The sequence below is a fragment of the Homo sapiens genome, chromosome 12 (assembly GCF_000001405.40).
Source record: "Homo sapiens chromosome 12, GRCh38.p14 Primary Assembly".
NCBI classification, from domain to species: Eukaryota; Metazoa; Chordata; class Mammalia; order Primates; family Hominidae; genus Homo; species Homo sapiens.
In genome coordinates, this window is record NC_000012.12 from 2268139 (window position 1) to 2295136 (window position 26998).

Below are 26998 nucleotides of genomic sequence, written 5' to 3' on the forward strand. Positions count from 1 at the left end.
ACTGGCTCCAAACATTTTCACTTCAGGTGGTTTCTGAAAGAGGGAAAGACTGAGGGGAAAGTGATGATGTGGTCCCTCTGAAGAGGGTTTAGCTTTCAAGGGTATGGCAGGGGTGGGGTCGACAGCCAGAGGGGTGTGACTTTGAGAAGCCAACTCACCGGCAGGATCCAGCGAGATCCAGGCTCGGTGGCTGGAACAAAGAATGTTTTGAACCACACGGGGCTCTGGCATGTTTGTTGATCGACTTATCCAAGGCCTGGGCCAGCTGCTCTTGTTCCAGAAGATTTCATGGATTAACTCCCTGGGCTTTGGAAAATTGTGTCTTTTTTAAGAAAGGGAAGTTTTGAAAAGCAAATGCTCCTGGGCAGGCTGGGGGTGTGGGGAGTGTTGGCTGGAGTGGGAGGTCACATTCGCCCCATGGTGGGATGGCCAAGGGCTCCCAGCGAGGGAACAGTTGGACCTGTGGTGTCCTGGGGGGAGGGTTCCTCTGAGGGACCCTAATGGACAGAGGAGTGTGGACCCCTGAGCCTGGGAGCATCGTGGGCATTTAGACCAAACCACGGGAAGGGCTCCCCAATGCTGAAGGTTGCTAGGCGCTGGGGGAGGTTCCCCGGGAGACTGTGGCTAGAAACACCATCTGCCAAAGATGATTTAGTTCCGGAAGAGGCAAGGGATAGAACGAGATGGTCCTTTCTGTCCCAGTTAATCTTGGTGCTGTTCATTCCGGGCTGAGCATTCCCTTCCTGAAGTGGAATGGAAGACAGACTCGGCCTTGGGCAGACTCTGAGCATCTTGTGAAAGGGAGAGTCTTACCTCCTTGGCTTTGTCCCCACCCCCTGCCCAGGGTCGGATGTCTTGGGTGCTTGCCGGCTCTCTGCCCACTGTCCTGCCCTGGCAGCAGGTACCAGCAAGCCTGTGTGCCGTGTGGGTTACAGGGAGTAGCGGGCACATGATTAAATACTCATGCTTTGTCAAAACACTGACAGTTACAAAATGCCTCCGCGTCTACTCAGGGAAGGGTGAGCAATGAGGAAAATGACTTCAATATGCAAAAGACATTCCAAGGAGTCCGGGAGGGAATGCTCATTCTAGAGCCAGGAGGGAGTCATGGGAATTAGTTCTTGATTTATAGACCGGCTGAAAGAAATCACCTAGGTTAAACCTGCCTAAATTCTGCTATCTGTGTATGTGCTTAAGGGGATGGGCTCAATGAACTTTGAGACTGTCTCTTCTCTACTGATGGGAGTGACAGTGAAGTTCCTGATGAAGGAAGGTTTAGGGTGGAGGAATTCTGAGCCCCTGGGTTCTGGATTCAAAATCATACACAGCCCTCTAGATAACATAGATGTACAGTCGTACAGTCTTTGTGGAGAATTTGAAAAACGAGAATGGTGATTATCTACTTAGGACAGGTTTGGGTACAGCCACTCATGGAAGCCAGGAACCAGCTTCTAACCATGGAAGCTTTGTGTTTTCTGTATAAGCTGTCCTTGACTACGGACAAAGAATGGGTACCGAGTGTTCAGTTGGCATCATAATAGGAAACAGAATTCTACACAGATGGTTCAACGGAACAGAGTTTCTTGAGGGGCATATTTATGGAGGGGTAAGGAGACCAGCAAGGGATATTGAGGCACCCAGGGCTAAACTTAGAGGGAAGCTGTCATCACCCTAGGGCCTGAGGAGGAAGGGGAGAAAATACTGTTTGGGGGGCCTGGTGGGAGCTGTAGCTGGGAGGAGGACCATGAGGGAGAAACCATAGTCATGGAAGGATGTTGTCACTGCCAGGACCAAGACACCAAGGTAGGGGGACATGGAAAGAAAACACCCTGCCTTCTCTGTCCTCCCATCTCCACTCTCTTATTGACACTGCTCATTGGCCAAACCAACCTGAAGCTGGAGGGCCAGGGAGCCGGGCACCTCAAGCAGTCCCCATGCACCAAGCTTCCAGGGCACGGGGTCAGGGAACAGAGGGTGGAAGGGGTCTAGGGGAGCCAGCAGGGAGCTGGAGCTCATTTGTAATATTTGTCTTGTTTAGCCAACTCTAGAAGGCTCGTCCTGAGAAGGCGAGCTTCGAAAGCTATTACTGACTCTTAAAGTATTCCATCGTCAAGACTAGTGTGTTTACCTTGCAAACTACCTTGAGCCAGCTGTAATGAAATTCTGAAATGTCTCCCATACACCCTCCTTCTCTGTGAAATGTCAGCTTTTTGAGGGCAGGGCCTGATTCTTTTATGAGCAGTTGTCTTGAATCACTTCAACCCTCCACACCTGGAGTGCCTTACACTTTCCAGAATGCCGTACTCAGTGACCCCTCATGTCAATGTTTTGAGGCTTTTGAATTGGTCAAGGCAACCGTCTTGCTGAGTGGCCTGAGTTCTCCAGTGAGAGAACACGAGTAGTCTCTTTGAGTGGGGGCCACAGCACTCCAGACGTGGTGATGGAACCCTCTACGGTATAGAGAGCCCACGGCCATGCCACCCAGCCAGACAGGAACTCAGGAGGCCAGGATGGAGGAAGCAGGAGTGGAAGGTCATTGGACTCCCTTTCTGGTTTAAGCTTGGCCATGGGATGTCTTAAGTAGGGCTCGTGGTCCTCAAATGTCACCTCCATCCTGATGCCACAATGTCTGTATTGCCACTATTCCAATTCTTCTTTTGGGTGAAGTCTTACTCCACCTGCGGGGAGAGCACATGAAATCATTAGCAAGTGCTGGCACAGACAGCCATTCCCCTCTCTGGCCAGGCTGGAGGGGCTGGATGGTGGTGGGGGGTGTGGGTGAAGTAAGCATGAAAGGGGAGATGAAGGGTGTCTAGACACTCCCTTTGCCGAGGGCTGGTGGCCTGTTGCTTGCTCTCTAGGACAACGTGGATCTGTTTGGGGTAATGGCAGACACTTTTCTTTCGCATCCAGCTGTCTCTTCCTCTTCTGAGTCCCACAGGGTCCTGGGCCCGATAGGCTCTGTCACCTCCAGCCAGTATTGGGTAGCCACCTGCCACTACTCAGGCCGGGTTGGAAGGGCCTGTGAGGGGTGGGGTGTGGGATCCAGTTCATGGCTTCCAGGGCCAATTTGGGTGAAATTCAGTTGTTCTTCGACTCCTGTGTTTCTACTTCCCAGTTTCATTCTAAATGGAAAACATTTCTGTAGGTTTAAGTCCAAGGTGCAGCCCCAGAGCGGGTATTTTCCCTTTTGAGAAGTGGAGGCTACCCTGAGCCTTGGGAAAAGTACTCAGAGAGAATCTCCCCCATGAGGCAGTGTAGCTTAAGGAGTTAGGTATTCTGAGTACCTCCAAAGGCTGTTCGCTCTTTCCATTCCAGCTCAGACTGCCTGAGTTCAAGTCCTGGTGTTGCCACTTACTAGCTGGGTATAAGTTGTTTAACATTTTAGTTCCTCGATACCCTAATCTATAAAATGGGGATGAAAATAGTGTCTATGGTAGGGAATTAGTATGAAGATTAAACAGTTTAAATTGTGTCAAGGCCAGGCATGGTGGCTCACTCTTGTAATGCCAGCATTTAGGGAGGCCGAGGCAGGAGAATTGCTTGAGCCCAGGAGTTTGACACCAGCCTGGGAAACATAGTGAACCCCATCTCTACAAAAAAAAAAATTAGCAGAGCATGGTGGTGCATGCCTGTAGTCCCAGCTACTTGGGAGGCTAAGGCAGGAGGATTGCCTGGGCCCAGGAGTTTGAGGCTGCAGTGAGCTGTGATCACACCACTGTACTCCAGCCTGGGTGAGAGAGTGAGACTGTCTAAAAAAAAATGTTTAAGTGTGTCAAGTGCAGAAAACAGTGCTTAATGCATGCCATGTGCCATGCAAATGTTTGCTCTTATTTATTTCAAGAAGCATACTCTTCTGGGCAGAGCATCCTCCTAGGACTCTGGAGAGATGGAGCATCCGCAAGGCCACCAACGGGACTAGTATCCCCCAGTGTTCCCCAAGCATCTCTTCCATCGAGCTATTGCCTTGCTCACAACCCCTCAGTGAGTTGCTTGTCTGGAGATGCAGGCCAAATCAATCCTGTCTACAATCTGCTGTCTGGCTGTGCCCATTCCTGGCCACAAACCCTCTGCTTCACCAGGAAAATCTGTTTATGGGCCCCATTCTCCTACTTGTTTTCACCTCTGCCTTACCCTGCCTGAAAAGCTCTCCTTCCTCACCTTTCCCTCCAAAGCCTATCCATTCTTCGATTCCAGCTCCAGTTCTGCCCTGAAGGCTTGTCCATGCCTGTGGATCACCATCCTCTGCCTCCTGCCTCCTCCTGCTTCCCCGGCTGGTGTCTGCCTCGTATCATCAGTCACCTCCTCCCAAGCAGCCTATTGCTTTCTCTACTGATGCCTTGAGCCGGAAGCCAGACAGCAGATATTCCAAAACTGAAAACCTGTGGATTTGCCTGTAAATTTGCTATAATTTCTTAAGAACACAAGAAAGGCTGAACTTCCTGGAAGTTATTCCTAGGGCCAGCATCATGGGAGTTTGACGGTTGGCTGTGTAGAGCAGTCACTCCAAGGCAGTTGATTTGCTTTGTTGTTCTTCTCACCCCATCAGTATTATAATGTGGAGCTTCCTCTGCATTGTGCCGTGAGATGACAGCAAAAGGGCTGTGGCCACTGCCTGGGACTTGATCCTTCGCTGAAACAGGGACACTTTCTATGACTAGTGCTACGTTACATTTATCCGTTCTATTGGACACATGTTCGTAGGCCCAGGATCAGAATAAAATAGCTCCACAGCTAGAAGAAATCAGTTTATAGGCAAACAAGACTCTGATGTTGGCCCTTAAAAAGAAACTGCTCATATTACATATTACAGTTTAATTTTGTCCGCGTTAGAAGGTCCCAGTGATATCTTTGCTTCTTGACTGTAGTCTAGTGTTTAAAGGTTATTTGCCCAGGTGACTTTTTTATCTTTTCCAATCTAAATACAGTTGTCCCTTGGTATCCACAGGTGATTGGTTCCAGGACTCCCCAACCCCTTGGATACCAAAATCCTTAGGTACTCAAGTCCCTTGCATAAAATGCATAGTGTTTTCATATAACCTATGCACATCCTCTTGTGTACCTTAAATCATCTCCAGGTTACTTATACTACCTAATACGGTGTAAGTGCTATATAAATAGTTCTTATGATGTACTGTTTTCATTTACTGGTATGATTTTTATTGTCATATTATTTTTATTAAAAATTTTCTTTTCAAATATTTTCTATCTGTGGCTGGTTGAATCACCAAGAATGCAAAGGGCCAACTGTATCAACAGCTCAAAGTGGAGAGCCCAGGGCCCAGGCACGGATCATTAGGGGAAGTACAGGGCTGGCAGAGAAGAAACTGGACTCCCAGAGCCGGCTCTTTCTGTGGGCTGGGAGCTCCTCCAGGCTGCTGGGTTAGGACCAGCAGGACGGCCAGAACCATGGAGACATGCTGCTGGTTTTGGAGATGGGGAGAGGCATGTGACCTTTTCTGGGAATCAAATCAGAGTGAAACCAGAAGAAGAATCTAGACTTCTTGGGGTAACTTGGCAAACAAAGCTCAGATAGACGGAGGGGTGTTCAAGGAACTTTGCACGATTTCCTATGGGCTAAGAGAAGACGCTTGCAAATCTGAAAGGGCAACATAGGGAAAGTTCCTACAGGGAAGGGAGACGGTCAACCCCCTCTCCCTGACCCCGGGCTTGGTTAGGGGGCAGAGAACGGGAGGGGGTCAAGGAGGCTGTCTGTTTCCCTCAGTGCAAATGCCTGGACAGCACGTGTGTGCAGGCTGTGCCCCTGACCTGATGAGCACCTGATGGGTGGCTGTTGACCGACTGTCCATGCAAGGGGTGTGGGCTGTGCTTGGCAGCCTCCAGCAGGCAGGGCTTGTTCACCTGCGTCCTGTCCAGCACGCGGCAGGAGCTATCCTGGCCTCAGTGTTAAAAGGTGGCCCTGGGTCGAAGGAGTGGCATAAGGTCCCACTTGGGTGCTTGATAATGATCTAGAGCCTCGTGCCCTTATCTTCACGGCCTCCTCGTTTATGGCAGCAAGTCCTCGTCCTGTGGGCCCCATTTCTAAGCTGGACGTCCAGCAGTTCCCTCAGAAAGTGCTGTGGGGCCCAGGCGTCCTCTCAGAGGATATGAGCACTCCCGAGTCGTTCTCACTGCGTGTGTTCATTTCACTCACTGCCTGCTTCCTTCGTTCAGCTCCAAGTACCTGCTGATGTTTCTGAGCTAGGAGGGCTTCCTTCAGGTAATAGGGGAAGCATGATCTGGAAAAGGGAAGGTTTCCTTTTGCCCCATGGAGAGACGTCCTGAGACACTTCATCAACCAGGAAGGCTCCCAGGCAGCCACTGGGTTGCAGTGAAAGTTTTCAGCCGCTGGTGACTGCTCTGGTGAGACTTGTGAGAGAGAACAGTGACGGTGAGCACAGCAGCCCCTCAGAAAGCAAACCAGGGAGTGGCTTCCCGACGTGCACGGTTTCTAATTCACACGGTCCCTGCATAAGCTAGGCATTCCTGTATCCTGTTTTCACATGAGGAAACTGAGGCCCCTGGAACTCACGTAGTTTGCCCAAGGCCATCTAACTAGGAGGCCGTAATTAGTGAAGCTGGGATTTACACCTAGGGCTGTCTGATTCCGAAGCTGGGCTCTTTCCACGGTATGGTCTGAGGGTGCAGTCTAGAGCGGGGACTGATGGGGTTTGTCTGAAGGAACATGAGATGGTGGAGTTCCAGGCTGGCTGGTGTGGGGCCCCGGCTGGGATGAGACAGTGTCTTCAAGTGTCAGGGATGGACGAATGTCCCTGTCAGGAGATGTTGGTCCCTGGCAGCCAGGCATGGTGGCAGCACTCCCAGCCTGGCCTGCCCTGCACAAACCTTCAGGCACACAGGCCTCTTGACAGAGTGATGATTGGGATTCCATGCCTGCACCAGTGGTGGGAGAGATGCAGGTGAAACAAGGCGGAAAGGACCGTAATTACCTCCTAACAGGTTTCCACATTTCTCTGCTGTCAGAATGGTTTTGTTTTCTGATTTATTTTGATCTGCTTGAAAATTAGTTGTGGCAGTGTGTTTGGTGTGTAATCATTGTCCTGCTAGCTAGCAGTCATCATCAGCAATGTTAGCCCGGCAAACGTGATCTTTCTTTCCTTTGCCCAATACATGTCAGGCTCTGTGTGGCAAGGGCGAGGGAGAGGCATGACTATGTGTCTCTGCCTGTCTGTGGACCCCGACTCCTCACCATCACCCAACAGGGGACAGTCCTGCTGGCTGTGTCTTCCCGGAAGGCTCGTGCCCGCACAGATTGTCTGGTGAGCCCGCCAGCTGTACCGCATCGCTCTGTGCATGTGACCTAGCTCTCTCCTGGCCCCCTGTTCCATCCCACATGCAGCCTCCGTCCACTGTCCCCCAGCTCGCAACCCCCACGCAGCCCCACCCTTGACCTGCCACCTCCATCTGCACCTGCTTGTGGAGCCTGTGTCATGGAAGAGAGGTGGCCTGACCACTCTAAGCCCACAGCACCACTGGATCTTTCCCCTCTCTCTGTGAGAAGACGGCCAGTCTCAGATTGGATTTGACCTTTTCGCTTGTGGTCGGGCCAGGTTGAGCAGGAAACCATCGTTAGGGCACGGAAGCATAGGTGGGAGAAGACAGCCAGCACTGTAGAGTGGGGAGGGCTCAGTGCTTCCACGGGTGGATGTTCAGCAGCAGGCCCCCTCTGTTCTTTGGTGAAGCTTGTCTGCAGCGAGCCCTCAAAAAACATGGGTTTTGAGCCAGACGGAAAGTCATCAAGCCCAGTTACAGTCATCCCTTGGTGTCTGTGGGGAGACTGATTCCTGGACCCCTCTCAGATACAAAACCCAAGGATGCCCATGTCCTTTTATGTATGTAGATTATATGCACATACTACACCATTTTATGTATTTTACATATGGTATATTTTATTTTTTAATTTGTATAATTTTTTAATGATTTTTTTTTCCTAATATTTTTTACCCAAAGCTGGTTGGATCCGCGGGTACAGAGGGCCAACTGTATTTCATTATTCAGAGCAGAAAACTGAGACCTAACACATAGGCAAGGATATGCTTAAGAACTACTGTTGGTTGGCTCCAGGTCTGGGATATGAACCCGAATCTCTGTTGCAGTCTGTCCAAAAGTGGGCTGAGCTGGTTTCAGGATTGGAGCAGACAGCTGTCCATGTGCTGGAATTTGAGGGATCTGCCATTTCCTCCCTAGAATTTCTACCTTTAGCATTACCTTTGAAGTAAGTCAGGGATTACCAAACATCTTATTACCAAAGAACTCTTTCTTCCCACATGACCCAACACAGAACAGAAAAGAGCAGAGATGCTTTTGTTCAAGTGCATGGGAAAGAATGGATGATTCAGAGCTGACCTGTTCAGCTTCTCCTGATTCTCCAGCGAGGTCCCTTATGCTTCTTGCTAGAACCTTTAGAGCTCCATGGAGTATAGTGAGAAATGTTTATGGCCTCTATTACCAGGGCAGATGAATAGGTGCAGACGTTAACAGCTTCTACACCTTAATTAGCATGGGTGTGTTTAGCAGAGTAATTGAGATCAGAGACTAGGTTGATAAAAGAATAGGGTTCCCAACAGGATAGTTTTTGATTAAGGAAATATTTGGAGCACTATGGAAATGCTTGAAACATAGGAAGGGCAAGTTCAGCTGGAGTGCATTGGGATGACGGAGGGTGGGGTAGCGGGGTAGGGTGAGAATCAGGGCAGCCTGGAAGCTGGGGCCTGAATCACTGGGGCAGGGACCAGGGAGACCAGAGAGACCAGAGAAGGTCTCAGACATAAACTCTAGCTACTCCATAAAACTACCTGGAGCATGAAAATCCCAGCGCCTCTGCCACGGCCTAGACTGCTCATCACAGGGGTTGCAAAGTCACAAAAAAGATGATGGCATTGAGCTTTCCTATCAGGAACTATGTCCTCAACTAATATTAATAGCTGACATTTGCATAGCACTTCACAGTTAATATAACACTCTCATATGTTAGGTGCTTCTCTTAATACCCCTTGAGGTAGCTATTGTTATTGTTATTATTATCCTTCTTTTAAAGGTGTGGAAACACAGGGTCAGGGGCCCCGTGAGCCATTACTTGGAAACACTGTCATTAACAATTACTTCTTATAGTTGTTTCTAGCAACTCATGTCCTGGAAATGTCTGGTTTAATTCATCTCTCTCTCCTTCTAGTAGACAGACAGACAGACAGACAGACAGACAGACACACACACACACACACACACACACACACACACACACACACACACACACACACACACACACACACTGAGGGCTGATAGGGAAGAGGACTTCTCTTCTTGATTCTCCATAGCTGTTTCCCAACTGTTGCTCTCTAACAAAAAAACCCCTTCAGAACCCTCAGCCCTGCTCAGAAATCTAAGGAGGCTTCAGGCAGCAACAGTGGGGTCCACCCCACCCTGAAGGGCTGCTGCAAAGATCTCCAGGAGGAGGCCCCCAACACCATTCCTCTTGAAGGTCCCAGTTCAGTGCGGCTTGAGTCCTTCACCTCTGAGTCTCAGCCAGGCAACATCCGAAGGAGCTGAGGAAGCCTTCTCTCTCCTGCCTTCTCTACCTCACAGGAGATGGCTCCTGTCCTCCCCATCTCCCTCCCACCATAACCGCTCACCAAAAATTGACTTGTTTTCTCTGATGCTGCTTTATTGCATGTTAATACTTCATTACTGGACCTGATTCTGTTACACTCGCACAGAGCAAGCAGAGCAGAGGGTCCTGAGCATGCGGCATTAGATGGAGAAACTGCCTCCAGTCTCACTCATCGTGCTGAGATGGGTTGCATGGCACACCACTCTTAGCACAGACTGAGGCTGGCCAGGCCACCCATGCTGGGTGCTGACAGGCCTCAAGCCTGCAGTGAGGGCCAATCTCAGTCCTCATGATCTGCACTGGGGACAGAAGCCATCTGATTTTAAATTCCATAGGAATAAACCAATGGGTGGAGTCACCAAATATCCAGATGTTTTCTCCCAGCTTTCATATCTGCCATTTATTTTTAAAGATGTTTTAATGGACTAGGTACAATTTTCATACATAAGATTCACCCACTCAGTCTATTGTTCTATGAATTTTTAAAAACAGCTTATCTGAGGTATAATTGGCATATAACAAACTGCACATATTTCAACTGTATACTTTGGAAAGTTTCAACATTGACCATCAGTGCAATCAAGAGGGTGAGCATATCCATCACTCCCAAAAGTTTCCTTTTGCCCCTTTGTAATCCCAGTAGCTCAGCCCTCCTCCCCACCCCTGCTATCTCTTTTCTGTCATCATAGATTAGTTTATATTTTCTATTGTTTTATATCAATGAAGTCATACAGCATGGACTCTCTTGACTGCCTTCCTTCATTCAGCATAATTATTTTGAGGTTTACACATGTCTCTGGATGTACTGATAGCTTATTCCTTTTTATTGCTTAGTTGTGTTCCATTGTATGGATATAGCACAGTTTATCCATCCATGTTGAGCTGTTTCCAGTTTTGAGCTATTTAAATAAAGCAGCTATGAACATTTGTGTATAAGGCTTCGTACGGATGTATGCTTTCCTTTTCTCTTGGGTAGATACCTGGGAGTGGAATGGTTACATCATGTGGTAGTGTACGTTTAGTGTTTTAAGAAGTTGCCAAACTCTTTTCCAAAGTGGTTGTGCCATTTTGTGCTGCCATCAGCAGTGTATGAGAGTTTTGGTTCTTCTACATCCTCACCAACACCTGGTGTGGTCAGTATTTTTAATTTTAATTTTAGTCATTATAATGTGTATGCAGTGGTATCTCATTGTGTTTTAAATTTGCATTTTCCTGAAGACTAACAATATTGAACATCTTTCCTGTGGTTATTGGCCACTCGTATATTTTTTGGTGAAGTATCTGTTCATATATTTTGCATACATTATATTTGGGTCATTTTCATATTATTGCATTATGAGGTTTCTTTATATATTCTGGCTGGCTATAAGTTTTTTTTAAAATCAGATATGTGCTTTGCAAATATTTTATCTCAGTCTGTGTCATCTTTTCTCTCTCATCTTTGTTGGAAGTCATTTTCCATATATGTGTTGGTCTATTTCTAGACCATCTGTTCAGTTCCATTGATCCATTTGTCTATTTTTACACCAATACCACACTGCTTTGATTACTATAGCTTTATAATAATAAGGCTTAAAATCAGATAGTGCTAGTTACCCCTTCATCTTTGTGATTTTTCATAGTTGTTTGGTTATTCTAGACCTTCTGCATTTCCATATGAATTTTAAAATCAGTTTGCCTATTTCTACAAAGAAAAGTGTTTGCTTCATGTATTTATTTGAAAGCTCTGTTAATAGGTGCATGAACATTTAGGATTGTTATGCACCCTTGAAGACTTGACCTCTTTGCTGTTTTGAAAAGCCCTTTCTAATCCCTAGTGATAGCCTTTGCGCTGAAATTTATTTTGCCTGATATTAATATAGACAGTCCAGTGTCCTTTTGACTGTGTTAGTATCGTATAGTTGGTCCTTTGTATTCTCAGGTTCTGCACATGCAAATTGAAAATATTGGAAAATAAAAATAAAAAATATAACAAAAATAATGCAAATGAAAAATACAGTATCAACTATTTACATAGCATTTATATTGTATTGGTTTTTATAAGTAATCTAGAGATGATTTAAAGCATATGGAGGGATGTGGATAGGTTATATGCAAATATCATACCATTTTATATAAGGGACATGAGCATCTGAGGATTTGGGTATCTGTGGGGCAGGAGGAGGTGTGTCCTAGAATCAATCCCCTACAGTTACTGAGGGACAGCTGCATATCTTTTTCTGTTCCTTTACTCTTAACCTATTTGTGTCTTTATATTTACAGTGGATTTCTCATAAGCAGCAGATAGATGGGTCTTGCTCTTTTATTCAGCCTGACTTAATTGGCATATTCAACCAATTTGCTGTTGATGCCTTGCTGTGCTTCGGTTTAACCTCTTGATACTTTGCTGTGCTTCGGTTTAACCTCTTGATACTTTGCTGTGCTTCGGTTTAACCTCTTGAGACCTTGCTGTGCTTCGGTTTAACCTCTTGAGACCTTGCTGTGCTTCGGTTTAACCTCTTGATACCTTGCTGTGCTTCGGTTTAACCTCTTGATACCTTGCTGTGCTTCGGTTTGACCTCTTGATACCTTGCTGTGCTTCGGTTTGACCTCTTGATACCTTGCTGTGCTTCGGTTTGACCTCTTGATACCTTGCTGTGCTTCGGTTTGACCTCTTGATACCTTGCTGTGCTTCGGTTTAACCTCTTGATACCTTGCTGTGCTTCGGTTTAACCTCTTGATACCTTGCTGTGCTTCGGTTTAACCTCTTGATACTTTGCTGTGCTTCGGTTTAACCTCTTGAGACCTTGCTGTGCTTCGGTTTAACCTCTTGATACCTTGCTGTGCTTCGGTTTAACCTCTTGATACCTTGCTGTGCTTCGGTTTAACCTCTTGATACCTTGCTGTGCTTCGGTTTAACCTCTTGATACCTTGCTGTGCTTCGGTTTAACCTCTTGATACCTTGCTGTGCTTCGGTTTAACCTCTTGATACCTTGCTGTGCTTCGGTTTAACCTCTTGATACCTTGCTGTGCTTCGGTTTAACCTCTTGTTGTTTTCTGTTAGTCCCATGTAGCTTTGTTCCCTTTTCCCTCTTTTTCTGCCTCCTTTTGGATTAACTGAGTATTTTTAAGGATTCAGTTTCATCTCTTCTGTTGACTTATTAGCTAAAATCCATTGTTTTGTTATTTTAACAGTTGCTGTAGGGCTCATAGTATACATCCTTTTTTTATTATACTTTAAGTTTTAGGGTACATGTGCACAACGTGCAGGTTAGTTACATATGTATACATGTGCCATGTTGGTGTGCTGCACCCAGTAACTCGTCATTTAACATGAGGTATATCTCCAAATGCTCTCCCTCCCCCCGCCCCCACCCCACAACAGGCCTTAATCATCGCAGTTTGTCTTCAGTTGTTACTAAACCCCTTCACATATAGTACGGGAACTTCACAATAGCACACTTAGATCACTCCCTTCCTGGCCTTTATGCCGTTGCTGCCATACATGCTAATTGTGCATTTGTTCTAAACCTCACAATACATTGTTACTATTTTTGTTTAGGCAGTCAATGATCTTTTCAATGAAAATCATATATACTTAACCATGTCAGTACCATTTCTGGTACCCTTGATTCCTTTATGTAGATCCACACTTCTATCTCATATTATTTTCCTTCTGCCTAAAGGACTTCCTTTAACATGTCTTGCAGTGCAAGTCTGCTAGGATTAAAATCTTTTAGCTTTTCTATGTCTGAAGAGAAGTCTTTATTTTTCACTTTTATTTCCGAAGGATATTTTTACTTAGTATAGAATTCTCAGGTGATAGTTTTTCCTTCCATGACTGTAAAGCTATGATTCCACTGTCTTCTTGCTTGTGTTGTTTCTAATAAGAAACCTGCTGTCCCTCTTGTCTGTTCCACTGTACCTAAATGTGTCTTTATGCCCTGGCTACTTCTAACATTTTCTCTTGATCACTGCTTTGAGGAATTTGATTATGATGTGCCTTGGTATAATTCTTTTTTCATGTTTCTAGTGCTTGGCATTCCTTGAGCTTCTGGAACCTGTGGGTTTATATTTTTAAAATTAAAATTGATAAATTTCTGGCTATTATTTATAATTTTTTTTTTGCTTCTCCCCCCATTCCTGTGAGAACTCTAATTACACATGTATTAGGCTGCTTGACATTGTCGAACAGATCACTGGCACTTTCATTTTATTTAATTCTTTTTTTTCTATGTCCTTCATTTTGGATAGTTCCTATACTATGTGTTTATGAATCTTCTCTTTTTTTGCCATACATAATTTGCCTGCCTTCTTCCCTCCCTCATTCCTTATCTTCCTTCCTTTAGAAGAACCTAGGGGGATTTACCTAATTTTATAATGATTATTATTTCAGAACCAATCCAGAGCTTCTGTTCCCAAAGCCAAACTACCGATTGGAGATTCTGGAGGGAGGGAACACAGGGGGTGACATTCCTGGAATTTGGGGGACTTCGCAGGACTTGACATTTTAGAGGCTGGATTAGGGTACATCCAATTTCTCCTGCTTCCTCCCTCTTCTTCTTTCCTATCCCCAAAGTAAGGAGAGTCCTGTGAGCCCAAAGGCACTAGACAGCCCTAGCACACTCTTGGCAGACAGGGCTGAACGCCCGGATTTCCCTCTCAATAGGGAAGACTTAGGGAGCCTCTCACAGGAGTGAGACAGGAACAGCAGCTTTATGGAAACTGAGTTCCAAGTCAACACCCGGAAGAAAACTCAGGCTCCCCTGTAGGCCTGGAAAGCTTTGTCTGAGACAATGACCTTAGGAGGAGGTCACCAAAACCACTCCTTCCCTCACAGCTCATGGGATCAGAGTCAGCTGTGCCTGCTGAATGAGTGGTCAGGTACAGCGCACCCGCCTCCTGCCAGAGAAAAGGAGACCTGCAGTCTGGCTGCGGCAGGTCTCAGCAGAATCTTTAGCTTTCTTCAGGCTTGATCAGCCACCTCAAGACCTGTGCTCATTTAAAGAACAGAGAGTACATGTAAGTTAGGAATGTTCTCGACTTCAAGTAACAGGATACTTAAGGACTCTGAATTGGTTCAGCAGCTCAAGATGCCACTGAGAACCAAGGCTCTTTCTCTCTTTCCACTTCCTTATACTAAGTCTGTTGGCTTTTCATATTCAAGCTGATTTCCTTATGGTTGCAAGATGGTTGTCAATGGGGCTCCAGGCATCACACCCCCATTCAAGGCAGGTGGAACCAGGAAGGAGTGGAGCCAATAACACTCTGGCCCTTTTTTTTTTTTTTACATAAAACAGAGGCTTTCCCAGAAGTCCCTAGCATAGTACTTCTTGAATTTAATCTACACAAGGATCCCCTGGGAATCTTGTTAAAATATAGGTTTGGATGTAGTAGATCTTGGGTAGAGCCTGAAATTCCACATTTTGATCAAGCTGCCAGAGTGTGTCAGTGTGGCTGGAAACTGCATTTTGAGTAGCAAGGTGCAAGGCTACTTCTCCTTACTCTTAGTGACACAATCCAATTAACTAGCTACAACTGGCTGCAAGGGAGGCTGACAAAGTATCTTACCTTTTTCAGGGGAGACTTTGGGTAGCAAACCAATATCAGTCACAGAATTCTACTGAAAATGCAGGGTATGGAAGCATCTGAAGTCACAAGGTTGGGCTGGACAAATTAGAGCCTTCACCTCCATGAGGGAAGACCATGGACCCCTTACTCTATATCCACACTCAGCCTGCAGGGACAGGGCATTATTGCCACGAGCCAGTCTGTCCTGTATACTCACTGGATTAGGGATTCCACTTTCAGAATTTTATCACCTTAGCACCCAGCACAGTGCCCGGTACACAGCAGGTACCCAATACGTGTCTATTACACTGAAATGTTTATTGGCACATGGTCTAAAGACAGTGCCAGGGAATCCTGTGAAAATGCAGTGCTGATTCGGGAGATCCAGGATGGGGATCCAAGATGATGCATTTGGAACAAGCTCCCAGAGGATGCTGCCGTCTGGTCCGAATCCTGGGCCCCACTTTCAATAGAAAGGGCCTAGGACATGCAGAGTAAAGTCCTTCCTCCTGAGTTAGCAGCAGCTACTTGTGCTTCATTCATGCAGGCATGAAGCTGCTTGCAAGGATGTTAGCAGATATTAGATATGGCTGGTGGGGAGGAGTAAGGAGGGCCTTGGCTATGCCTTTTTCCAAGATCCGGGAGCTGGATGCTCAGAGATCTCATCCCTGGCTTCCTTGTCCACTGAAAACAAAACAGCAGTATACCCGGGTGAGGAGAGAGACCAGCCAAGCACGTCTTTCAACAACTCTTAACTTGCTTGGCTCCAGCCACGAAACAGGAACCCGCCATCCCCCTAGCTCGTCCCTGGCCCTCAGGAAGTGCTGAGGCTCTGCCGGGCTGCATGAGTGAGGGGCCGATGTCTTTCAGATGTTGGGGCTTCAGCGGGGGAGTGGGGTAAGCTGGGGAGAGGGAGCATTTTTTTGTGAATATTTTACCCACGGAAAAAGCTGAATTCTCTAGAACAGACCTCTAGATTTTTTTTTTTTTTTTTGGTAGTGGGAAGTGAGTTACTGGAATTTCTTCTGAATTCGAAGCCAAACAAAGTTTCTTGCGGTTTTAGTTACACAAGCGGCTGCTGCCAAGATGGAATGAATGAGAAGAGCCACTGAAAGGAAGAGACAGTGAGGGGCTGGGGGAGGAGGGTGCAGAACAGGACCCAGGCGCAGCACAGAACAGCCCTCCAGGCGGGCATACTGCCCGCTTCTATGCTGTCAACTCTTTAGGGAGAGAGCTCACTGTTCTGTCTGCCTCCCAGGATCAGAATTAAAAAGAAAAAAGGTCTGTGAAAGTGAGGCATACACTGGCAGACACGCACACATGTAAATGATTATCATTGCTTTGTAATTTACCATAATTCCGGCCTGTGCACTCTATGGGGTCCTGCTTTGTTCAGTTTCCTGACTGAGTGGCAGTTGGACGAGACACTTCTGCCCCTAAGCTGCAGGCAGGCGGCTCTCATTTCAGCCTTGTTCCAGTGTGAGTCTGCAGGGAAGGGATGCCCGCTGCTCCAAGGGGAAGCAAGGATAATTAACTTCTACCAGTGATCCCCAAACTTCATTTTCCTTAGAGCCTGAAGCCTCCTCCTTGTTACCTTCCTGGTAGCCACAGAATGGGCCAGGGCCATGTGTCTCCTTTCATTTCTCCAGCCTGCCCTCTGGTGGGCGATGCCCTTCAGTGAGCGGGGCCTGGGGTAGGGCCGTTCTGCAGATCCTGGGTTGGCTTCCAGTGGTGCCTGGCATCTCTCCTGCTCTCTGGGAGGAGGGACGGGCCGCTAAGTGCTGACGGCAGCCTGTCACTCACACCTTGCTCCCTCTGTAGAAACACTCTGTTTCTCTCCATTCCATCCCTGCGTGTTACCTAGCAGGAATTTCCTCTTCCTTGGGTCAAGCGGGTGGGAAGGGCTCATGATTGCTGACTGAACTCAACCCTTTACACTGGGCATTCAATGTCATCACATTGATAACTTGAAATGGGCAGTAGTGGGAACATTTACACCACAAAAACTGGCATATGCTACACCCAGAGCTTTCCTTCCCCCTCTCCTAAAAGCCAGTTGCTAAAACATTTAACAACATACCACTGGCTGGAACCACTTGTGAAGGTGACGTAGGGCTGCAGGGAGAGCCCAGGTAGTGGAGGAAATGGCAGCCTTCCTTCCTTGCCCATAGCCTGTGCCGGCTACAACTCAGGAGCTTTTGGAACTTAGGAGCTCTGTTCTTAAACTCTCCTTAAACACCTCCTCATCCCAGACGGGTTGACTTTCAATGAGAGGACTCTGCTGTGCCGCAGAGCTGGAATCACTCAAAGCAGAGTGATGGACGAGACTTACTTTCGACGTTCCTAGGCTCCCTTCCACCGTTCCCTGGTCTCCAAACCCCATGTTCTTATCTGACGGTATTTCTACTCTTTTTCTCAACCTGTTGCTAACGTGCTCATTCGAGAGAGGCTGGTGCGCACCTACCCAGCGGCTTTTTGGGCGGCAGTGGAAGGGAGTGTTTTATTAGGAATTTACGTTATATGTGCAAGGAATACCACATGGATGGTAAAGTTCAGCCGTTTTCCACTGAAGATAGGGATTCTTCAAACTGCACAGCTTTTCAGGCCATTTCGTTTAGGCGAGCCCTCATGTTATAGTCAGGGAGTTTGAGGCCCAGGGACATTTCCCAGGGGATGAACTCTAACTAAAAATGAAGGTCTCCTAGTCCTGTCGCCTGTTTTCTTCACTCAGCTGTTTAAAGGGATGTTGCCTCGTGTGAATTATGGATGACTGCCAGAGTTATTAGAATGAACAGAGTTACCAAGAGCTAAATACTCGTCATTTATACCTGGCCGGTTCTGTTTTCAGTTGTCCTTTTTCTTTGCAAAGAGCTTTGAAACAAGACTGGCCTGCTTGACCTTCCATTTAGAGTTAATGTCAAAGCTTGCTGAGGCCTGGGAAACAGGTTTGGTTGTTTGCATTAAAAGGGAGTAGGAAGCAAGAACCTTAATTATCCTAGGCTCTGGCCTATTTAATAAGGAATTTGAGAAGATGTCTTAGTGGCTAGTATTCCTAGAACATAATACTTGAAAGTGGAGCGAGCGGGTGAAAATATGCCTTAGGCAGGAAGCCAGATAGGAAGGGCCAGTGTCTACAGGCTCTGCACAGTAAGGACCCTGTGGGAAGATGTCACAGGTAACAGGGCCTGATGGCCCAGCACCCAGCTGCTTTGCAGTAGTTCTGGCTTCGGGGCTTCTCTGGGTGGCTGAAGAACAGGTCTGTGAGGTTCATTCGGGGGCTCTTGTTGATCAAGTGTGGATGGTGTGCCGGACACAGGGCTGGGGCTGCAGAGTGGAGGAGGCGCAGTCCCTCCCCCGAGAGCACTGTGGCCAGTGGAAGGAGACAAACAAGAAACAATGACAGGACCCAGGCTCAGGCTGTCATGAGCAGCCCTCCTCTGGAGAGTGGGAAATGTGCGTTGGGAACTCATGCTTACAACTTTTATGTTTTTTCTTACTGAGCAATGCTCATAACAGGAGAAAGGATTTCTTCACTGTCCCAAAAGAATGTGCCTCAGGACTGAAATTGGTAGTGGCCCTCCCTTACTCATGTGCCCCAAGCACATTGGAACGCCAGAGGAATTTTAAGCAGATTTTTATTCTTGTTTTCTGGAGGCAAAATCTAAAGTGAAGGGTGTGTGTGGAGAGGTCATGCAAGAAATTTGGAAGCTGTGTGCCTTGTCTGGCTGACTGTCCCAATTACCCCGGGCCCAGAGGTGGGAGGTCCCACAGGGGCCTGCCCCCAGTTGACAGAGGGCTCTTTACCGTTAGGACCCCTTCTGGGTTTCTCAAATTATGGCTTTTCCTCCTTCATGGTCTCCTGGTACTTTTAACCCCTTCTCTCCATTTTTCCCAAGGAATATTCTAGAGGAAGGGTTTCTGGGAATGACCTTCCCAAGGGGAGGGATCGGGCAAGTATTGAGTCATTCCTGCTCGTCTGGATTGTGATTGCGACCCGTGCCTCATGGAGTGTCGCTGGATACGCGATCAGTGTCCCTTGAGGCAGTGCTGCACATGGTGCAGTTCCAGAGAAATGAGGGAATGAGAATGAACGTGGCTGCTCGTGTGTTCCGTGGCTGTTTAGGAAGGTTGGGTCAGTGGAGATCAGGGCCCGAAGAGCAGTTTCAGCCTGCGTGGTCTTGATGTGGTCTTGGCTGATGAGAAGCTCCCTCCAATTCTGTGATTCTGGGTAAAGCAGACCATGTGCCATCGGGAGTGCTCCTGTGATTCTTTAAGTTAGTAATTCTCATCCCTGGCCACACATAAGAATCATCTGGGATCATTTAACAAAAAACAATGCCAGGATCCTACAGTCTACTCCACGCCCTTCATTTTCAAACTTGAGTGGGCACCAGAATCACCTGGAGGATTTGTGTAAACACAGATTCCTGGGCTCCAGCTTCCGAGTTTCAGTGGCTCCAGGATGGAGCTTGAGAATTTGCATTTCTAACAAGCTCCCAGGTGACTCGCTGCTGCTGGCCTGGGACCACACTTTGGAAATCACGATTATGAACAGGAATCAGAATTTCTGAAGATGTGGCCTGGGCATCTGAATTTTTTCACATTCTCCAGGTGATTTTAACATATAGCTCTGGCTGAAAACGATTTCTGATCATTGATTTTTTTTTTTTTTTGCATCATCCAATAACTATTCATTGGTCAGACTGTGTGCTAGGCACTGAGTTAGAGTTGAAGACCCTCAAGAATTCCACTGACAACTGAATCATCAAAGGGAACCGAGCCCTGCCCAAGGACATACAGTTGTTTTCCTCTTCCTTGTCCTTTGGAGAAGCACAGCTGAAGCTTCCTGCCCACACCCCAGCCCCTCCTCCTTGAGCATGAATGTGCAGTAAGTATGAGAGCCTGTCATTTACCCTCCCTGGCCTCCCTCTCCAGCCAGCTTCTCTCTGAGGAGTGAGGATTTCTTGCTAAGTACATGATGATGGCCTGTTTACTTTGCTCTGGAGTTTGAGGCTCTTGCGCAGATTCTGCCTTCCTGGACAGTTCAGGAACCAATCAACCAGCTGGCCTTGGCAACCTAGAAAGCATGGTCAGTTGCCCTGAAATAGGTTGATTGCACCCCAGAAGTGCTTTTCCGCCTCTCCCCATCAAAGGTGTTTGCAACCCCATTTTCCCTCTGAGTCAGCTTGTCCATTAATGGGTTTGTGTTCCTTGATGGGGTCTGTTTTTCCAGGGTCTTGAGGAGTGGCCCTTTCCACCCAGTTTGGCTGCGGGGCTGAGAAGGTGCCCTTGCATTTTGTATTGTGTGTCCGTGGTGGGTCTGTGCCTCCCTTCTGTCTGTTTTCCCTCAGGACCACCCACCGCCCCATGCTTGTATCTACAACAGCTATGAGGAAGAACATACAGATTAATCACCCTGCTGCGGGATGCCAGCTACCCAGTGGCTCTGGCAGCCCCAGTCAATGGATCCTGCAGTGTAGCCTTCATCAGTAGAGCTGCCACTGCCAGCACCCAAAAGGTAGCACTAATATGCATGTGTGACCTGAAAATTACAATGTAAATGGTGGGGCAACACATGTATAGGAAGGTAAATTTTAATTAAAAGTCTGTTCTCCAACTCAGCCTGCCTTTAAAGATACAGAAATGCCAAGCTGTCAGGCTGCCGGTCGGGTTAAGAGGGTTCTCTCGTGCACTGTGGACCAAGCTGGGAGAACTAGGGCTTCATTGAAATCGGATGCCTTTGACTAATTATGCACCAAATGCATCCCATATGGGGAAGATATGCCCTCAGGTGGTTAGCAGAGCCAGCAGGAGCCAAGCTTCCTGAAAAATGCTGGGTCTTCTCTCCTGCAGTGTCAGGGGGTGCAGACAGTACAGAGGGAGGGTATGAGAGTCGAGGCACATGCCAAAAAGGAGCAGGTGGGAAAAAAGAGCCCATGGCCCAGCAGCAAATTGTGTGTCTTTGAGTGGATGTGGCTTTTGAGGCACTATGCCCAATAGTCATCCTGAATTTCCTTCACTGCCTGGGGAGGGGGTGGATGGAGGAGGGAAACTAGCCACCTCCAGAGGCAACCCTGCTGGACAAAACTCACTTTTAGAACCATCAGAAGCCCATTTTCCTGTGGAAATCTACGGGGAAGAGATAGAGAAGAGCTGCAGAGTCTATTAAATGTGTGCTTGCTGCCTGGTCTCCGGTATAGTCAGGAAATCAGATTTGTACAGTGGAAATTCATTCATGCCACAAATATTTATTGAGTGCCTACACTGTGCTGGTGGTACTAGGGACTGGGGATACAGCGGTGGGTGAGATAAAGGCACGACGCCCTCACCGAGACTTGTGTGCCACTGGAGAACATGGATTAAACCAGGCGTTACGTGATCAGTGTATCAGTGCCATATGGGCAATGATCCAAGCTGCCGATGGGTACACACCGGGGACACCTAGTTCTTAAGTGACTTTTTAGGATCCCAAGTGGTCAGAACAGCTTCCCTATTTTGCCATTTACATGTTCACATTCACTTAGCTCAAGTTACCCTTCTGATAAGAGGAAATTCGCGTCAAGTCACATAGAATCACTGAATATTTGCACTTGGAGGATCACCTGGCCTAATTCTTCTGCTTTACACATGCAGATGCTGAAGGAGAGAAGTTAAAGAACCTGTCCAAAATCGCACAGCTAGTTAGTAATAAAGCTTGGGTGGAATTCTGCTTTTCTGACTCCCAGATTAGTATTTCTTTGACTTTACCTCCCCTTTGGAAAAATGAAGCGATTCAGGGGAAGTTCCTGGGCATTTATGGCCAAACTGCCCTCGCTCTGAAGATTCAATGTTTTAATTGGCCCGGCAGAGCTGGAGTCCACAGGTGGTAAGCATGGACAGGTGGAGAGCCAGCATCAGAGAGAGCCTCCTGGCCAGCGCCTGCCTTGCTTCACAGATGTCAAGGCAATTGGGGATTGGGGGCAGGGTATGATAAAGGGCATCAGGAAAGTGGCAGTGCTGGGGCACTGTCCTCTGGGCCTCCCTGGGCTCAGCTGGGCAGGGGCGTGTTTTCAGAGACAATGGTGTTGACTCCCTCTGGGCAGCCCTGCAGGGTGGCAGTCCCACAACAGAAATCTTGGAGCAGATATGTTGGAGGATATGTATAAGAATGAGGGATTAGTGCTGGTTGGGGGCAGAAAAAATGCCCTCTTGGGGAGAAAGAAATGATCTGTGACAAAGGACTTCCTTTCCTAACCAGGCAGACTCTGGAAGATGACCACGAGGCTGGGTGGGAAGGTGGCAGTGGAAACGTGATTAATTGTACTGTCCATGGACAGTGAGCCGAGGAGCTTGTACCTGGCTTTATTAGAGACATACACTCGGGGCTGCTCTACCCAGAATCCCTCCTGCTGCCTCCAGGGCTGCTCCACTCTGTGTCTTAGAGATGAGAAAAGGAGTCAAGGACTCCTACCAGCGTGGAATGGTAACCTCTGGAGGGGAGGTAGGTCTCCCAGGGATCTGAGACGTGTTCCAGGAATGGAATTCCCAGTATCCTTGGCAGTCATTTCAGGATCTTGGGGACCTAGGGATGCTGTCTGGACTGCTCTAAAATAGCCCTTCTGTGGCTTCCTCAAATGTATTGTCTGAATCAGCAGCTTCAAAGTGATATCAGGGGGTTTACAGCATGGATGTTGGAGCTATGTAGACTGGATTCAAATCCCCAGTTCTACCAATTCCAGCTCTGTGTGCAGGGCACTAGAACTTGCTGAGTCCTAGCTCCTTTGTAATATGAGGTGATGGTGAATATGTCGTAGGGTTGTTGCCTGGATTGAAAGTAGGTAAAGCACCTACTAGCGTGTCTGGCACCTGGGAGGTACTTAAATGGTAACCCTTATTACAACAAAACAATAAAAGGTCCTTCCTTTTAAGCCAGAAAAGTTATTTGGAAATGGAACAGTCTTTTAATGACGGGGACTTAAAATCCCAAACCACCAGCCAAAACAATCAAAATGGAACCCAGACGGATATTTGCTCAAGGGCCCCTGGCTTCTCAAGGGCCTACTCCGCCGCAGAATTTGCCTGCACCACCTACTGGTGGTTTCTTAGAACTACACACTCTCTTTCTCGACTGCTCTTTGGTGAGCAGGACACCAGGAGAGGCAGGGAGGAAAGGAAGGTAACTAGTAGTTTTGCAACTGTTTTAATTACTTCAAATTGAGATGTTTGTAAATAAGATGTTAGAGTCTGGAGCTTTTGTTCGGTCTTGTGTTTAGCGTAAATATAGTTTTATTGAAACTCGTCACAGAAGTACCCTGCAGTGGAGGGCGCAGGATTTGGCTGTGACGGAGCAGAGCTAGAGGCCACTTGCAAATGGCAGCGTTTGGAAGTGCCTGTTCTGGGTAGAGCATCCAGGCTGCTTTTGATTGGCTGTTTGTCCCTCCCACGAAGCAAGAAAGGTGAATGTAACCAGCCCACTGGAATCGGTCCTTTTGCCATTAACGTCACCTCTGTTTACTACGTGGGAAGAGTGATTCACATGCAGGAAGAAGACCTTTTCCAGAAATCCTCCATCAGCTAGAAGAAGAGAGAGATCCTAATTAGGGAGCCATGCCACATTTCATTCTGAGATTTTGTTTGGAAGCATTTTTCCAACTGAGAAGGTAGGAAAGGGTCGTTTAAGTTTCCCACTGTTCTGTTGGGCTTAATGACCTGCCCAGGTCTCAGGCTGCTCTGAGCTGAGCTGTCAGTGAGACCAGCAGGAGGACATCACTAGGACTGGAAATAGCGTGGAGTCAATTGACAGACAGCCATGAAGCACTACTAAGTGCCAGGCCTTGTGCTGGCTCCCGGGGAGGCAAAGAAACATAGAACATGACCTTGGTCCTTAAGAGGTTGAGAGTTTAGTAGACAAGAGAAGCCTGTGCTAAATCTGTGTACAATAGTGAGTGAAGCAAGTGCTGAGTCCTAGTGGACAGGTCCATCCTCTTGTGGAATATTGGAGAAGGAAGCATGCATGTGTTCAGTTAGACACAGTTTCTGACCTCCAAGGTGAAGGTTCAATTCCATGCACGTTTATTGTGTCCCATTTTGTATAAACAGAGCACGTTTGTTGATATTCTGAGGTATTTGGAGAAGGACACAGTTGAGTACCATTTTTCAGCCCTTTCACATTGTGCAGTACAGAGGTCAGGAGCACTGTTTCAGGAATCAGACAGCCCACGTTTGAAACCTCCAGGACTTACCACCTGTATGTCCTTGGTCAAGTTATCAAACCTCTCTACAGCTTCATGTATCCAATCAACAGACGTTTACTAAATACTGTACCGGCACTGGCAGGCAGGCTAGAGGGACTGAAGGGATGTGCAGAGGTTGGTGGAGAGGGTGAGCAGGGCAGAGACTGAGTGTGTCTAAGGAAAGCTGCCAGCTTTAGGCGGCCTGGGGAGCTTCTAGTTCTCAGCCAATCTCTTCCCTGAATGGGCAGCCTATGGGTGAAGGTCCAAGTGGGGATGTGGCTGTAGTGTCTCTTCCTGCCTTTCTCCCATGCCCTGCGGCACCAGGCCCACACTGGAGTGCTGGTGGGAGCCTGCATGCCTGGTTAAAGGGGCATGCCAGAGAGCTTTCCGTAATTGCGTCCTTTCTTTTTTTTTTTTTCTGGTGTATTTATGAGTTTTAAAAGCCCCTTGGCAACCCAGGAAATTCCATTTCCCTCTGCAGCTCATTTATACCTTCCTTGATATATGCCCAGGCACAAACACTTGTGTGTATTATTTGGTTGTTCACGGGGAATCTTGTAAAATCTGAGGCCTTAGTGGGTGCACTTCAGGCTTGAGGGCAGGAGAGGGAAAGGAGCAGAAGGTGAGAAGGTAACCTCTGGCAAGGAAACGGTAACACTTTTAAATCTCCTCTGAAGACCAAAAGCAAAAGAAATGGGCTCAACCTGTAGCATAAGTGTGCTAGAATAGACACAAGCAAGTTTTTCCTGATAGATGTCAAATGCCTTTTTGCCTGTTCACAATAAGCTTTTATACATATGGCCAATTCTCATCTGACTGGGACAAGATGCAGGGAGTGGAATAAACTAAATGTCCAGTGTGCGTAATTGGTGTTGCTATAATTAATATTTTTCAGCCCTGTGACTCCATGAATGCCTCTAACACCTAGAGCAGGCTTGTCCATCCCATGGGCCACTGGCCACACGTGGTCCAGGATGGCTTTGAATGTGGCCCAACACAAATGCATAAACTTTCATAAAACAGTATGAGATTTTTCTTGCATTTATTTTTAGCTCACCAGCTATCACTAGTGTTAGTGTATTTTATGTATGGCCCAAGACAATTCTTCTCCTTCCAATGTGGCCCAGGGAAGCCAAAAGATTGGGCATCCCTGGTCTAGAGCCTTCCACAGTTTGACCTTTAGAGTATCTTGCTTTGGCTTATTCTTTTTCATATGTATGTACTTCATTTTCCAAACCATATTATACTCTTATCATTTTTATTTGTATCCCTACCACGGCCTAAAATAGTGCCTGAATATAGTAGACAATAAGTGTTTGATGAGTGACTAATAGATAACAGCAGCTTCCAGTGTCTGCCAGTGCTTACACTATAATTTATCATTTTTTTCTTAAGGTGACAGAGAACTCTTGTAATAACTCTAATAGCAAGTCTTCTTTTGTGCTAATATATTAATTGAATCATTTATTAACTTTCTAATAATATGCACCAGCCACTGTCAGGCACTAGTTATTCAAAGGAAGACGAGACACAACCCTGACCAGACATGAGGGGTGTTTACCATCCACCTGGGAGATGGGCATATAATTTAAAATGAAATATCGATTGGTAATATATTAATGAAGAGTATATATTCATAATTTAGGACAGAGGAAGTGCTTTTTGCCTGGCCTTAAAGGGGAGAGTTTCGGGGAGGATGTATTTGAGCTTCATCTTAAAGACGAGCAGGAGTCAGCGAGAAGACATGGCAGCGGTGGTGGGTCCTGGCAGAAGGAAGAGCGTGGCCCATAGCATGAGGCACGGGTACGGTTGTGCTTGGGGAGCCCTGAAGAGGCGGCTGCTGAGGAAGGTGGAGCTGGAAACGTAGATTGGAGTCAAAGCACGAAGGCCTTGAATACCCTGGGCAGAAGCTGAGCAGGCAGTCAGAAAGGCCCTGAGGAGACTCGGAAGGGTCACCTGGGGCAGTGGAGAGTGAGGGGCGGGGGAGGCTGGCCAGGAACCATCGCGGTAGGCCTGATGTGGTGGGGGAAAGATTCCTCTTGTGCGTGCTGTCGGGATACATCATGGAGCCTGAAGCATGCCAAGAAACCAAGCAAGGGAGCGTGGCCTCAGGCTTGCCATCCGAGCCATCCAAGCCAGAGGAACCCAAGTACAGCTGCGGGTGAAATGGCTTTGTTAGTTAATATGTAACATGTCGCCTCAATATTGAGCATCTCTGGCAGCCGCTGGGACTGCGGGCGCGTTGTTGGTCACACTGACCCAGACAAGTAGTCAAGGCAGCTTTCACCACAGATCAAGCAAGAGAGTTGGCAGTAGGTGGGGCAGGGTGGTCTCCGTCTGTGTGCACATGGTGCTCAGTGAGTCACATCTGCTCCAGTTGTGTAATCTCCGTGGTCAGTGAAGCAATGCTGTGCGCACAGTTCTGTGTTGTGCCTCTCCCGGGGAAGGGGTGTATTTGGCCTGTGCCCCACCCTAGCCCTCCTTCGTCTTCCCTCTTTCACCACGTCTTCCGGGGCTGGCTTGAGTGTGGGAGTCTTTCTGCCAGCTCCCTGCCTACAGCCGCCCACTCACCAGCCCTTCATGTGTGCCTCTGAGAGTCTTCTTCCTA

General features: G+C 47.4%; 1 protein-coding gene and 1 long non-coding RNA gene across 56 annotated transcripts in view, besides 3 other annotated features; both read left to right on the top strand.

Annotated features, from left to right (window-relative positions):
• Positions 1 to 26998, top strand: part of CACNA1C (calcium voltage-gated channel subunit alpha1 C) — a 727171-nt gene that overhangs the window by 297359 nt on the left and 402814 nt on the right. The gene's annotated exons all lie outside the window — the stretch shown is intronic.
• CACNA1C-IT3 (CACNA1C intronic transcript 3) lies at positions 1638 to 20607 on the top strand. The gene is made up of 3 exons (NR_046769.1): positions 1638 to 1803; positions 19881 to 20066; positions 20530 to 20607. It is a non-coding gene; the product is annotated as a CACNA1C intronic transcript 3 (long non-coding RNA).
• Positions 2266 to 2464: a silencer, noted in NCBI's record as "fragment chr12:2379570-2379768 (GRCh37/hg19 assembly coordinates)". NCBI's record gives its function as "represses an EF-1alpha promoter that drives an FKBP-Casp9 reporter gene in an ReSE screen in HepG2 liver carcinoma cells {active_cell/tissue: HepG2}" and the evidence as "EXISTENCE:reporter gene assay evidence [ECO:0000049][PMID:32094911]".
• Positions 5359 to 5954: an enhancer, noted in NCBI's record as "H3K27ac-H3K4me1 hESC enhancer chr12:2382663-2383258 (GRCh37/hg19 assembly coordinates)". NCBI's record gives its function as "activates a minimal SCP1, AML or CMV promoter by ChIP-STARR-seq in primed H9 embryonic stem cells {active_cell/tissue: H9 hESC(primed)}" and the evidence as "EXISTENCE:reporter gene assay evidence [ECO:0000049][PMID:30033119]".
• Positions 5955 to 6548: an enhancer, noted in NCBI's record as "H3K27ac-H3K4me1 hESC enhancer chr12:2383259-2383852 (GRCh37/hg19 assembly coordinates)". NCBI's record gives its function as "activates a minimal SCP1, AML or CMV promoter by ChIP-STARR-seq in primed H9 embryonic stem cells {active_cell/tissue: H9 hESC(primed)}" and the evidence as "EXISTENCE:reporter gene assay evidence [ECO:0000049][PMID:30033119]".